At 37.1% G+C, this 15,600-nt stretch overlaps 1 protein-coding gene across 26 annotated transcripts in view; it reads right to left on the bottom strand.

Annotated features, from left to right (window-relative positions):
• Nucleotides 1-15,600, bottom strand: part of LDAH (lipid droplet associated hydrolase) — a 140,613-nt gene that overhangs the window by 85,551 nt on the left and 39,462 nt on the right. For all 26 annotated transcript variants that reach the window (XR_007079565.1, XR_007079563.1, XR_001738874.2 and 23 more), the window contains one exon: nucleotides 6,771-6,940. Coding sequence is in view for 9 of the 26 variants with exons in the window: in NM_001282720.2 (NP_001269649.1) it covers nucleotides 6,771-6,940 (170 nt within the window). In the remaining 17 variants the exon portion in view is untranslated. The remainder of the gene's footprint in view (nucleotides 1-6,770; nucleotides 6,941-15,600) is intronic.

The following is a 15,600-nucleotide window of genomic DNA, read 5'->3' on the forward strand; positions in this document are numbered from 1 at the left end:
GTCCACTGCGGGTCTTCTCTGAGCTGTTTTATTGCTCAATAAAGCTCCTCTCTGTCTTGCTCACCCTCTGCATGTCTGCAAACCTCATTCTTCCTGGTCGCAGAACAAGAACTCAGGACCTGATGAGTGGCGAGGCTAAAAGAGCTGCTGTAACACAAACAAAGCTGAAACATGCCCCCTGCTCGCCATGTTGCGAGTGAAGAGAAGGAGAGAAAATCTGCAGCACTTCAGGGAGCCCAGACCTGGGAGCTCCCTGAGCCAGAGCTGTGACTCCCTCTTTGGGGCCTTGTGGTTCCTGGAGTCTCTAAGCTTCTGGGTGCCACCGCATTCCCTGGTGCCAGCTGGGGAAGCTGCTTACAGTGTGCCTGGTCCAGCTGCAGCCTCACAGAGAGCTGACACCCATGCTGGCACCTGGAGCTGCCTGCCCCATGGCAGCAGCCAGCATGTCTGACTGTGCAGTGGCTGGACCCCATACTCGCTCACACACACCCCTCATCACTCCACGCCTGACTCTAGTCTCCCTTGGAGGCATAGGATCCAGGCCGGCAGCATGAGCTGAGCATAGCCTGTCAGGCAGAGTCGGTGGAACGAGCCCAGTGGGCCCGAGCAAAACTCAGGCAAAGATTCCGCCAACCACAGGTTTCTGGCCAGAACAGCAACACCCCAAAGATCCTGTAACACTCCTTTATGGCAAATGAAATCATTCCGCTGATACACATCTATGGCCTCTCTCTTTTCTCAACAATTTCCCTGGGCAATTTTATCCCTTACACTGTCTTCATTATTTCTTATTTGGACTAGTAAACTTTCCTGTCACCTGGATCTTCACTTTTTATGCTGCACTTTTTCTATCTCCATCTCATTTTCCTTTTCTCTGAGAGATTAATTTACCTGATGCATGACTGCTATCATCAGAGATCCTTCAATGGCTTTCTGCTGTCCAGAAAATGAGCCCATGCTCCCTAGCCCAGCTTTTTGTCCATCTCTATCAACCTTGAATCTCATGCCCGATCGACCCCTCCACGCACACTCTGCCGCAACCCAGTCACACCACCCACTGCCCTCTCCCCGTGCCCAGTGATGAAAACCATTTCTCTTCATGCTGTCTCCCTTGCCTAGAATGCACAGTACCCCCTAGCCACCATATAAAATCCTCTACTTCCAGATACAACTCATCCTTCAGTGGCCCTGAAGCTCTTCCAGGAAGCTTTTTCTGAGCTTCCCAGGTAGAAGACAACCCTCTCCACAAAACTTTCTGAGCCTTACAGTACTGCCTCATTTTGCCTTCCGTGTCTTGTCACTTGTCACTTGAATCTAGGGATAGGATTCTGACAAAATTTACTACGACAAATGAGTTATTTCCTATTCTTCTCCCTCCCTCCAGATTATCTCAACTGTTAAACATAGCTGAGTGACATAATATGAATGCTTCTTACAAGCATGTCTTACTTTGACAGCAGACATGAAGGCTCAGCAGAATAGTGTAAGTAAACCACAGTCTCAATAATCTCATTGTTGGAGAACACTGAAGCTATTTTTTCCTTAGTATGGATGAGGTATATTCCTGAATCAAAACATATATGATCTAACATGTTATTCTAATTCTTTTAGTAAAGTTTTGCAAACTTCTCAGCTATAGTTGTATGTTGAGTCTCTAAAATTTTGAGTACTTAAAATGCCCCAAAACATCCTTTTTGAGGATCTCAAAAGAAGAGAAAAAAAGGCTGAGTGATAACAATGTCCACACATTTAATGCTGTCAATTTTACTCCTTTATCTATTTAGGACCTGTTCATTCCTACTGAAAAAAATTATAATGTAGTTACTGGTTTTCTCTGCCCACAGCAAATTAGTAGCAATAAATTAGAAGTAGGGAAGAGAAGAAGTACTTAACACTGAGAGAGGAGATAGAAAAACTAAAATAGACATACATGAAACATTTTTTTTAAAAAATGAAAAAGCATTATCACCTAAGAAATTTCAGGACACAGGCACATTCCTTTTGATTACATTTTATTCTAGCATAACACTATCAAAATAATAGTGTTATTACCACTGCCCTTAAATCACTAAGAAAAAATTCCTCTATAGTCAATATGCATTGCTGAAGGCAGATAAGTAAGTAATATATTTTAGACAAATTTTTATCCAGTTGGGTAAAATAGTCTGGTACTTAAGAGAGTGAGTTTAAGTAATCCAGAAATTTCATTCAGAGAGAAGACATTTTTGCTAACCAGAAGACAAAGGAAACTCTGTGTTATTATGCACAGAAGGCCAAATAATATAAAAAATTAAGTTTGTGAAGGATCTGATATCCTTCGAAGAGGAGAACATGTTATCATTAAAGGTTATATAAATTCTTAGAGGAAAATTAAAGTTATATTAATTAAAGTTCACCCCAAGACTCAGTGAAGAATCAAGGGCTTTCAACTCAACTCCCAAACTTGAACTTTATGAAAAAGATTTACTGGCAAAATCAGGTGACACATTTTTAACATATAGAGGGTTGATAAGAGAAAGAAGATTCTAGATAGTGGAGATAAGATTACTACTTTTTTGCTTCTGTATTATTCTCCCCCCACCCCAACACACAATCCTGAAATTGCTAGAGCATTCACGGGGTTTCCTACTCTTGGAGCACCAACACAATGAGTCACACGAACTTAGCAGTTGTGTACACTGCAGGGCACACTGTAATAGCTATAGGCTCTGCTATCATCCACAGGTTGAAGGAGCCATCAATACCTTCTTGGATTCTTTTTATACTCACAGCTAATACCAGTATGCCCCACCCCAGATTCAGGCAGAGCCAAGGCTGAATACTGGCAAGGGACCTTTCTCTCACTTCCCACTGATAAAATGAAAGATGGGGCCAGATTGTCTCTAAAGCCTATCTCAGTTCTAAGATTCTATGAATCTAAAAACAATTATGTTTATTATTGTAAGTCATGATAGCTACTATTTAACAGTCTTTCAATTACCTATTTGCTCAAGTTTCTCTTTAAATTCCCTATACTGAGCACTAATTTCAAAATATATGAAGAATATCTCTAATTCTATGTATGGAATTTGTTTAGATAAACAACTTTAAATGCCAGATTTTTTTAAAGGGGCAACTTTTTTTTAGTATATTAAAATACAGGTCAGACAGTATATCTGACATATACAATAAGTCTCTTAAAATGATTTAAGACCAAGTTGCCTATAATTAGTTATGAAAATATTACAAAGAGCTGAACCAAAATAAAACTAAATAAACCAGCTAGCTACTAAACTACACATATGTCCTCAAAATCTTACAAGAGTCAAATATTCCAGTAAAAAATAACAGAAGAGATGGAAACACAAGTTTCTTATTATCACACTTCATATGTTATAAAACATAATAGCTAACTTATTTTTGGCAAAATGATTAAGGATTGTAACATTCTGGCTTACACAAACATATTTGTCAAATGCATCTTAAATGGAGCATGTCATGCTAACTTCAGGCATGCAGGCACTGCGGTGTCTTAGAGTAGCCCAGAGACACTGAAATTTCAACACTTTGGCAGGGATCACACCACCAATATTCACTGACCCAGGTGTTTAATGGGGGCTGGGGATGGGGTAGGGAATTTCAACAATGTAGTTAATTGAAACCAGATAAAGCTTCTGAATAATAATTTAAAAATCATACAGATGTTCACTGCCCCTCCTACCCCCCAAAAGAGGTGACCTTTTGGACAATTTATTGCACACATTATTTTCTAGCTTACACCCTTTGGACAATTTATTGCACACATTATTTTCTAGCTTACACCCTTTTTAAGAAGATAAAACACAGCTTCACATATCTTTCTGAAAACTCTATAATCAGTTTGAGTTGTGTCTCCACAAATAGAGTAGGTTAAGTTCACGTTTCATCTTTGTTTCCCCTTTTCACCACTATTCCTGCAAAAGCAAGGACACCTGAAGGCAGGACAATAATTAGAAAGTTATGATGCTGAAAAAGCTATAAGAAAGCACATTAACCTTGAGATGCATTCTACTTCTTTCCCAACAGACATTGTGAATATGGGCCCAAAAAGAGAGAAAGGTTCAAGACAATGTATTGAACAATCATTTTCAAACACACAAAAGAGAAACCACACATCACATGCAGAACAGATCTGAAGCAAACACAAAAACCAAAACAGATCTGTGATTAAGTTAATAATAGTCTGTGATGGGCTCCAAAATGAATATTTTCTTTCCTATGTTTATAGAACAGTAATGCTATTATTTCAAATATGCAAGTATCCTTTTTAATGTTTTTAAAGTGTTTAAGACACCTGGAACAACTAACAACAAATAACTACATTTCATGTCAGTTTGCTACATTTTATTTGACAGGTCCAAGTCATTGCCTACACCAGTAAATAAATGCAACAATTTATGTACATCCTATGTCCATGTTCTTGACTGCACAACACACAAGTGAAATCCTAATTTTAGAATGATGGGGTATGCAGCTCTGAGGCAGCTCCCAGTGACTTTCACCTCCTAGTATTCATGCCCTTGTGTAATTATCTCTCCTTGAGTGTGGGCTAGACCTAGTGACTTGATTCTAACAAGAATACAGGAAACGTGATGGGATGTCACTTTGTAACTGGGTTACAGCCTGTGATTTTCATCTGCTAGCAGGCTGTCTGCCTCCTTGACTCTTCTTCCAGGTGTGCTCTAATGAAGTCAGCTAGACAGGCCGACACGTTAAAGAAGGTGGCCTCCCCCCAAATGCCACTGCTGAATGAAGGCTCTCTGTCCAACAACTCTCAAGGAATGGGATCCTGTCAAAAACCACAAGAGTGAGCCTGGATGCAGATCCATCTCAACTAAAGCCTTCAGATAAAACTGTAGCCCTGGAAGACATGTTGGTTAAAATCTTGGGAGAGACCCTGAAGCAGAGAATCCAGCTAAGCTGTGGCCAGACTTCTGACCAGAAACTACGAGTGAAGAAATGTGTATTGTTTTACACTGCTAAGTTTTGGGGCAATTTGATACACAGCAATAGATACCTAATACAATAGTTAACCTAATGACTGAGACAATGACTCTAGAGTTATTTCCCTAATAATAATAATAGCTAATACTTATTTGGAACTTTAAAGTTACAGATACCATTCTTGATGCTTTATATAATTCCTCACAAAAATACTTTGAAGAACATATTATCCCCATTTTACAAATGAGGAAACTGAGGTTGAGACTCAAAACTAAAGTAGAGACTCAATAACTTGTCTAAGATCAGACAGACTAAAAAAAAAAAAGGACAATAAATATTGGAACCTAGGTGTCCTGATTCTACTGCCAGAACTCACAGCAACTGTGCAAGTAGAACCACTAAGAGGCAGAGCTGGACACCATAAAGATGGCAACCACATGACACAGTACTAGAGGAGACTTCGAAGGCACAAAAGAGATTAGAAGCTGTGCAAAATGCTAAAAGGAAAAATAAAGCCTGCATTCTGATTAAGACACCTTATTTAGGGAAAAAACACCCAACACAGTAGACAATAATACAGAGAACAGAGTACAATCTTGAATTTATTGAATTCACACTTAGAAATGAAAAACATATTTTCTTATACCCAATAATAATTTAAAACCTCCATTTAGTATCAAAAACCACAGCGAGGGAGGCTATAGTTGTACATTTCCCAAGGGCAATTACGAATAAGAAGCAAGCAGGTGAAGCTGGCAAGAAAAGGAGCGAGTGCTTAGTGAGCTCTGAGACCCCACTGAAGATATTTTATCCCACGGAGTGAGAAACAGTCAAAATCCTAGCACAAAGCAGCCATGAAGCGATCACGTCCTATCTTGGCTTCAGATTACTAGGTTTACCAGCACTCCATGCTCCCACACCCCCTGAACTGAAACAAGACAGTAGGTATCACATCTATTGGTTAGACTGTCTCCTCAAGCAGACTCCAGGCTCTCCTACTTCAAAGACTGTCTTACTCTCTGGGATGTCCTCAAAACATAGCACAGGATCTGACACATGGAAAGGGCTTAATATATGTTTGTTGAATAAAGAAATGAATTATCTTGTGAATTGCATCCATTCAGTGAGTTATTTCAATGGTATATGCTAGTGAAAGTACAATTTTTTTGTTTTGTTTTATATCTCTTATAGTTCACTTGCTTTCCTGGGCACTTTAAATAGGTCTTTGCGTCTCTAGCGCCTCACTTAATATCTGGCACACAGTGGTATCCAACAAATATTTGCAAGCATTTGTGAATATGTGTCTCAAAAAGGCTGCCAAGATACAGAATAGGTAAGAATCTGAACTTATGAATTAATAAAGATGTAGTGTTCCATAAAGACAGCTGTTTGCCTATCAGTGATGATGATGATACATTTCTTCCTTCTGAAAAAGGCAAGAATATTTACAAAATACCTTCCCACAAAAGACAGATTCTTGTCTAGGTCTTACCTAGTGACCGCTCTTAAATATTTCTTTATAAAAAACAGCAAGTAATGTGTAACATAAGAACTCCGATAACCCTAGATTCAAAGGCATTCTTTCAGAAACTTCTTATCTCCCTCAGCATTATTCTTTGAAACATTATGAACATACATTCACATAAGCCCATCGTAATATGGAGATAAGGATAAAGGCAGAAAGCAAATATCCCTCTCTCTGTTCTATTTATCAACTGAACAAGAGACAAAAGAACATAGGAAAGGTGAGGAGGATTTGTGCAGGCACACAGTCCAGCACCCACAGTTACCTCTGGAGACCTACTTACCGGGAGCTCAGGGACTCGCTTCAGCATCTGAAGTGTGAAATAGCTGCCTATTGAATGGCCAATGAGCACAAGTTTCATGTCCTTTGGCACATGAGTTCTCAGGAAAGCTAGTTTGTGCTCTATTTGTCCATTTAGTCCATAAATGTCCTTAATTTCTTGAGCGTTTGAATCTAAAAGCAAAAATATGAGCACGTTTTCATTAAGTAAAAGTAATCACTGAAAAAAGATCAAGAAAAAGATAACAATCATGATAAAAAGCAGTTACCATTTATCGAAAGCCTACAGTGTGCCAGTGATAATATTAGGCATTCATTATATTAACTAATTTTCACAACAATTTTGGGAAGGAAACATTATAACCTTCACTTGATAGGTGAAAATCCCAATGCTCATAGATATTAGGTGACAGATTAATAGTCACAAACTTATTAAGTGGGAGAGGTGAGATTCAAATTCAGGTCTCCAAATCCTCAAAGTCCATGAACTTTCAATAATTCTGTGTATTACTGTTAGCTTAGGCCAGTGGTTCTCAAACTTGAGCATACATCAGAATCCCCTTAAAGGCTTGTTAAAACATATTGCTGGGCTCCACACCCCAGGGTTTCTGTTTCAGTAGGTCTAGGCTGGGGCCTGAGAAGTTGCATTTCCAAGTTTCCAGGAGATGTTGATGCACTGGGTCCCAGTACCACACATTGAGAACCAGCTGCTTAGGCTAATTTATATTACTAATAGACAACTAAGAAAGTCCATGACATGACTTAATTATTTTAGATAATCTTTATTTATTTAAAGAATCCAGATCGAAAAACTTAGGTAGAAATGTTAAAAACTGTCCCTTTTAAATAATCAGCAGTCCTGACCTGAAATATCCTCCCTCCCTGTCACAAATGAACTGCTCTTCTAGGTTCTTCAAGACCTAATTAAAACTTTACCTAGCTAATCCTCAAGAAAAATTAATGAGCTCTCTTCTGTGCTTAATCAGTACCTCTTTTATTATAGCACTTTATCAAACTTGCACATTGTCTGTTTGTATGTTTATTTCCTCTCTTAGGCTGTGAGTTCCTTGAAGGCAAGGTCCATCTTTTCATGTGTCCTGTGACTAGTACACAGCAAATGTTATGGCTGAATGAAAACTGGAACTGACTAGATGATCTCTGAGGATGCTGGCCACTCTAATATTCTACGAGTGTAGAAAACTTGAATAGGTTTTCCCTATGAACATATATATAACCCAATGACAGGGTGTAATATTTCAAAATATCACAAGACAGTCAACTGTTTCCTAAAATTTGAGTGACTGAACACTGAATTTCTTGCTCTCATGACTTGCAAGGCATTGATGGGAATTACAGTCGGTATGGCTCATTCAAGAGGCACCCCAAACTCAGAAAAACTACTCTTCTGTTTTGTTTGTATATGGTTTTTTTTGTGTGTGTGTGTGCTCATCTCCCCTTTTAGTCTAAGTCCTGTTTATCCTACAAACTTGAAACAAGCGTTATCTCCTCTGAGAGACCTTTTTATGATTCATGATGTGAGGAGTAAAGTGGCTCTCTTTTCAGTTTCCACAACATCCCTGTTTATTTATCTCACTATACTACTCCTAATTCACTCCTACTTTACAATTCAGGTCTTGCTTATCACTGCTCCCCAAAGTCCAGCATACAGTTATTGAAAAGCTTTTTCTTGACTCAATGAGGCTTACTTCCCTATTTCCATAGTACTATTAATCTCCCAGGTTAAACATGTTATGCTCTCACTCTTTTTCCCAGGTCAGCTTACAATCCATTCTCCACTTAACAAGGAAGTTCAGCATGAAACAGAATTGGGAAGAGAGAGAATCTGGAACCTGACTTTGGTAGGACTTCTAATGGCTCCAAATCCACCTTTTTATGCATGAAATATTATATTTAGGTTTGAAGAGTTTATACCTTGCTTCTCTAATCACTCTACCCAGAAGTGATCATATCATTCTTTGATATAAAAAACCACAATAATGTTAATATTTGCATCCCAAGTTCTTTTTCAAAATATGCAGCATTTGGAAATATCCAAGTTTTCCTTCTGTTGGGACAGTAGGTGCAGTACAAAGATAAACGGGCTCTGGAGATGAGATACATCTGGGTTTAAATCTCAGCTCAGCATCTCCCTAACTGTGTGACTTGAGCAAATCCTTTAACCTAGGCTTCAGTTTCCTCATACACAAAATAGAGATAATAATGCTAGCCTCCAATGGCTGTTGTTTAAGTGTCTGGCATAAGCAGATAAATAAAAGCTATGATTGTCATCATTTCAATTCCTGTTATTTAAGTCCTCCTCCAAATATATACCAAGAACATTTACATGGTTAGAGCAAAGAAAATGGGCTAAATATTCTAAAATTTCACTGACATCATAAATAAGGTCCTAAAACATTGTATTTCAGATAAACTTTAAAGGACATTATAAATCAGAATATTTCAGAGGTAGATCTAGCTTTACCTCTGGGAACTATTCAGTAGATTTTCAAGAACACAGTACTTGCTAGTGTTTGCCAAAGTGGTAAGATTAATGGGGAAAGTACTTTCTAAAAATGTACAATGACTGAAAATTTAAATGTGCTATCTTTTAAAATTTATTTTTATTTATTTATTTTTGAGATGGAGTCTCACTCTGTCGCCCAGGCTGGAATGCAGTAGCACAATCTCAGCTCACTGCAACCTCCGCCTCCCGGGTTCAAGCAATTCTCATGACTCCCAAGTAGCTGGGATTACAGGCGTGCACCACCAGGCCTGGTGAATTTTTGTAGAGATGAGGTTTCACCATGTTGGCCAGGCTGGTCTCAAACTTCTGACCTCAGGTGATCCACCCACCTCGGCCTCCTGAAGTGCTGGGATTACAGGCGTAAACCACCATTCCCAGCCTATCTTTTTTCATTTTACTAGTAAATAAAATTCTAGATATTATTTTACTAGCAGAAAATGAAATGTTAAAAGACTATATACTTGATTATATATTTTCATTCCTATTATTTTAATAGTAATATATTCTGAGAAAATGCTAGAAATTATTAACTTACTCTCCAAAAAATGTAGAAAAAATTACATTCAATTGTATCAAAACCAGAAGAATGCTAATATGGAAATCATTTATACCATTCTTTCTATAAGGAAAATGTACTCCAAGTTATAATCAATGAAGCACATTTGGAACATAATCTAAATTGAGATTTCTAAATTGAGAACTGCCCGAATTGGTGGATGACAATCCAATCCACCATATTGTTACCAATAAATTGTGGGGGAAAGAAAGAGAGATCAGACTGTTATTGTATCTATGCAGAAAGAGGAAGACATAAGAAACTCCATTTTGTTCTGTACTAAGAAAAATTCTTCTGCCTTGAGATGCTGTTAATCTGTAACCCCAGCCCCAATATCATATTGACAATTTTCTCTTAGAACCTGAGCCTATTTCTTAGACCCATCTCTATTAGATATCACTTCACAGCTCACCTAACGGTTCTAGAGTTTATTTCAAAAGGTACACACAACTTGTTCTGAAATAGTTAGTAGAGAAATTAAATAATATCAGTACTTCGCATTAACTTTTTGTCTAATCGTTCAAATTTGCTGCTCCAGTTATTAAAGTTATTAAGCAGTCATTAAAATTGCTTTCAATTTTAAATTCCCTTATAGCCTCAGAACACAGATAAATCTGATGATTATTATTTTCTTCATTTTACATGAACTGAATTGACTACTCTGACAGAAAACAGTGACTAATTGGCCCTTGGTATTATTGAAAGTACAGACATAAATAAAATATACTACCTTTGCCTTTCAGGAGATCATAATCTACTAACAGGAAACAGACATAGATAAAAACACAATCATTAAATGCCAAAGTTAAGTATCTCAAGCATTTGTGTGAGAAAAGAACACAGTTTATTGGATCACAATAGAAGGGTAACGGCCCTTTGATTCATAAAAAGTACTGTACCTTTTCCCACTCTACCCAAGATAAATAACTAGAAGATATTCTTTATTACATGTATATTACTATAAATGTATACATTTAACTATGTATCTGAATCCAAGCAAAACAGTTTAAATTTAACTACATATTTAACTGCCATTCATATATATATATATATATATGGCTATATACTGAATATAAATGTATAAGTTCAACTATTTATTTTCATACAAACAGTATTTATTGGTCATCTCTGACCATGGAACAGACAAGACTGGAGATTAGCACTACACATGCCTTTGGTAGGACTGAGTCTGCAGACAGTAACTACATCTCACACCAGAATTTGCTCAGCTACTAAACCCTTCCATCCTGCCCCCAGTCATTACTCCAAAGCTGTATCTTAATAACTAAACAACTTGCATGTAAAAATTGAAAGGCTAAGAATAATATTTCATATTTTAAAGAATTCTTTGATCAAGATGAAAATACAGTTTCCTTGTGAAGCATGTTCTCACCCATAAGTGGGAGGTGAACATTGAGAACACATGGACACAGAGAGGGGAACAACACATACTAGGGCTGTTGAGGGGTGGGGCGGTGAGGGGAGGGAACTTACAGGACAGGTCAATAGGTGCAGCAAACCACCATAGCACACGTATACCTATGTAACAAACGTGTACATTCTGCTCATGTATACCTTTTTTTTTAAGAAAAAATAAAATAAAAAGTTTCCTCCTTAATTTCTTTCAAATACACAAAAAAATAATATGTTGTTCACCATGCTATACATATATATAAATATATATAACTACAAACATAAAAAGAGACATGAAATATTTACTCTAAATTCATGATAGAACTAGAGATGGGATACAAAAAACAAACCTTTTTCTGTATTGTTTTATTTCACTTATTTTGTTAACAAAAAATATTTATGTAAATATGGCAATGTTAACTGTCAATTGTGAGTAATAGAAACTTTGATTGTTATATAACTCTATTTTGCTACGTTTTTAAAAATTTCTCAAAATAAATTTAAAAAAAAGAATGCATTGACATGCGGTTGTTCCTAGATATCTTACACCTATTTTGTAGGGAAAATCACCATTGATTTCTTTCTCACATGGAATACAGAAGCCCCCAAAGATGTTGTGGGTTGATACTGAATATCAGTGAATTGGCTCAATGAGAACTGTGGTCCCTAATTCTGTAGGCTTACCTACTTCATCGATCCATAAGGCCTTCCTTTCACAACTGTCCTGAGGTTACTAGGCTGAAGTGGGAGTACACTCTCATCAAACCCCAGCTCCCTCCCTAAGTATTCTGTAAGCTCCCTGTATCTAAACACTGGTACAACTCTGTTAGCTCTTAAAGTATGCATTACAGTGAAGGAGATGGGAGATAATTATTCTATTTAACACTGCTATCTTATTTAGAAAACAAATTTCAAAATTTGTAAACCCCAAGCATATGTTTTATAAAATAATTTTTAATTATTATTCTCCAAACGGTGAAAACCACAGTCATCAAATTATGCTTTCCACTTGACTAAAACCAATTATCTGCTAAGGACTTCAACAGTCCTTAGCAGGAAACAGCAGAGAGATTCAGCAAGGAGAACATAATGTTATAGACTTAGCAAACAATAAAAGAAAAAGGCATAAAAAGTGTGTTACTTTTTATTGTAAAGTGATATTTTGGAAACAGCCATGTTTCCATGGCTGTTACTTGGAAAAAGCCATGAGTTCTGTGGCTATGTGTGGTTATATGGAAAGGTGAAGCATAAGGTTAAAAAGGAAAGTTGGGTATAAATGAAGTAGGAAACTGAACTTCACACCAAGGAGTCTGGACTCGGTTCTGTGATCAATGAGAAGATACCTATAGATTGCCAAGAGAGGAGCGCACAATCTGGTCTGTGTTATGGACGTTAACTGCAATGCTCACTCTCCCTACTTCTGTCTGCCCTGGGACTCTTAACAATTTGCTTGATTCCTAACTTCTTCTCTTGCTCTGCACTTTGGTTTTTTGCTCTTCTGACCCACAGATTTACGTGCTTTCATTTCTAGGGACTGTGAGCCCTGAGAGTTGATTGATTGGTTGTTCCTGCCTTGGGCTCATCTAGTCATTCCATCTTACCTCCTTGTTGCCCTGCCACTCCCAGTCCTGGCAAGAGAAAGCTCCACTGGGTTTTCTCTCTTTCTTCCTATTTGGGGGACTGCAGTGAGAGTAGTTTATTGTTTCTTTGGATAAGCATGACTCAAATTCATCATTAGTTGCAAGATTGTATAACTTTTTTAGGTAATGTTTTTATCTGCTAATACAAAACCAGCATGATTTCTAGCTTTCATTTCATACTTTCTAAACAATGACTTGAAATAGTTGATAATGAATTTCCCATCATGTGTGCTGACTCTATAGCAAATCAAATCCAGAAAACAGTTTATACTCCTAACTCCTCAAATTTTCTTTTCACACTTTTTTTCCCCTCGAATCATCCCCTTCTGACATTGGTGAACATCTGTTCTTCCAATTATATTCAACTTATGATTGTGATAATGTGGTCTACTAGAATATTATTTCCAACTGTTCATAATTTTAACATGTGCTAATATGAAGGAAAACATACTTTCAACATTTGATGTGTGGTAATAGCTTATGCCCTTTTTCTCAATGATTACATATTTTTCACGCCATTATTTTGCATGCCAGAAAATCAGTACCTTAGGACAATCTTGGACAGCAAATAATATATCTGTGTTGCCTATCCAAAGCCACTATAGCATACATTTGCAAACATAACCTCCAATGTGTACAACAGATGAGAGCAGAACTGTTCTAGCTGAATGGGGGGCTGGTCCAAGGCCCAGAGCCCTACTTAGCCTTCACAGAACTTTTGAGCTACTCAGATACAGAAAGTCACAAACCTAAAAGGTGGAGACTGGCAAGCAATTCTAACTCTTTGTATACCCTTGTAGCATGACAGTTAATAACCTAGTAGGTTGTCAATAAGTCCTTGATGATAATGAGTTGCCCTCTCACCCTCTCCAGAAACCACAGCTTCCTTTGGCGCTATGGTGGCCCTTTGGGCTAATGCCTCTAGATGGCACTATTCTCATTAGGTAGCAAAGAACCCAGACTAATTACTAAGTTATTAACTCAATAGTACACAAGCAGGCCAACTAGAGATAAACATATTCAAAGTAAAGTTATAAATAATAAGATGTCAATTTACAATAAGAATTAAAGCTGTTTCCTAAAAATTCAGACACATGACAGATATTTTCTACTGGTTTTCCGTATCAGTGTTTATTGTGAACATCTAGGGCAGTGGTTCTGAAAATGTGGTCCCGAAAATGTGGTCCCAGGACCAGCAGCACCAATATTACCTGGGAACTTGTTAGAAATGCAAATTCTCAGGTCCCACCCCAGATCTACTAAATCAACAACTCAGAGGTAGCCACCTGTGTTTTAATAAACCCTCCAGGTGATTTTGATGCATGCCAAAGTTTGAGAACACCTGATCAAGGGTGATCCTCTGAGTCTGTTTTCAACTTTCAAAGTTGCCATTCATGTTCTCTTCAAATGTTCGCTTCTGTCTATAGTATGACTTAAGATAGCTCACTTGATCATGACCATATCCTTTTAATGTGATGTTGAATTCAGTTTGCTGGTATTCTATTGAGAATTTTTGCATGTATGTCCCTCAAGGATATTGACCTATACTTTTCTTGTTTTGTCCTTATTCAGCTTTGGTGGTTTAATTTCTTTAACAGATACAGTCTATTCTGATCATCTATTTTTCCTTGTGTGAGTTTTGGGAGCTTGTATCTTTCAATAAATTGGTCCCTTTTATCTAAGTTAAGTTTATTGTCCTTTTATTATCTAAGAGATCAGCAGCAATGAATCTTCTTTTCTTTCTGAATACTTGTAATTTGCGTCTTCTCTTTCTCCCCCCTTGGTTAGCCTGGCTACAGGCTTATTAATTTTATTAGTCTTTTAAATAACTAGCTTTTGGTTTGTTGATTTTTTTTCTAATAATTTCTTGTTTTCAACTTCATTGATTTGTGTTCCCATTTTTATCATCTTTTCTTCTCTTTGCTTTAGGCTTAAATTGTTCTTTCTCTGGTGTCCTAAGGCAGAAACTTAGGTAATTAACTTTATATCTTCCTTCTTCTCTAATACATGCAGTCAATGCTATAAATTTCCTTCTAAGCACTAGTTTTGCTATATCCTACCAATTTTTATAAGTTGTATTTCCACTTTTATTTTGCTCAAAGTATTTTTATGTTACTCTTCAGACTTCACTGACCCATGTGTTATTTAAAAGTGTGTTGTTTAACTTCTAAATATATTGGGATTTCCTAGCTATGTTTCTGTTGTTGATTTCTAGTTTAATTCCACTGTGGTCTAAGAGCATACCTTGTATAATTTATACTCAATTTTAAGTTTCTTAAGGTATGTTTTATGGCCCGGAATGTAGTCTATCTTGGTGAATGCTCCATGTGTGCTTGAGAAGACTATGTTGTTAGATGAAGTAGTCTATAAATGTCAATTAAATAAAGTTGACTGAAGGTGCAATTCAGTTCAACTATATCTTTACTGCCTTTCTGTTTGCTGGATCTATTCATTACAGAAAAAGGATTGCTGATGTTTCCACTTATAATAGTGCAGTCTATCAGTTTTGCCTCCTGCATTCTGACCTTTGTTGTTAGGTACATATTTGTTAAGGATTGTTATGTTTCCTTGAAGAACTGGTTCTATTATCATTATGTAATGCTCCTCTTTATCCCTGACATTTTCTTTTTCTGAAGCCTGCTTTGTCTAAAATTAAAATAGCTACTCCAGCTTTCTTTTGACTAGTGCTACCATGGTATAT

Source organism: Homo sapiens, chromosome 2 (genome assembly GCF_000001405.40).
Source record: "Homo sapiens chromosome 2, GRCh38.p14 Primary Assembly".
Taxonomy (NCBI): domain Eukaryota; kingdom Metazoa; phylum Chordata; class Mammalia; order Primates; family Hominidae; genus Homo; species Homo sapiens.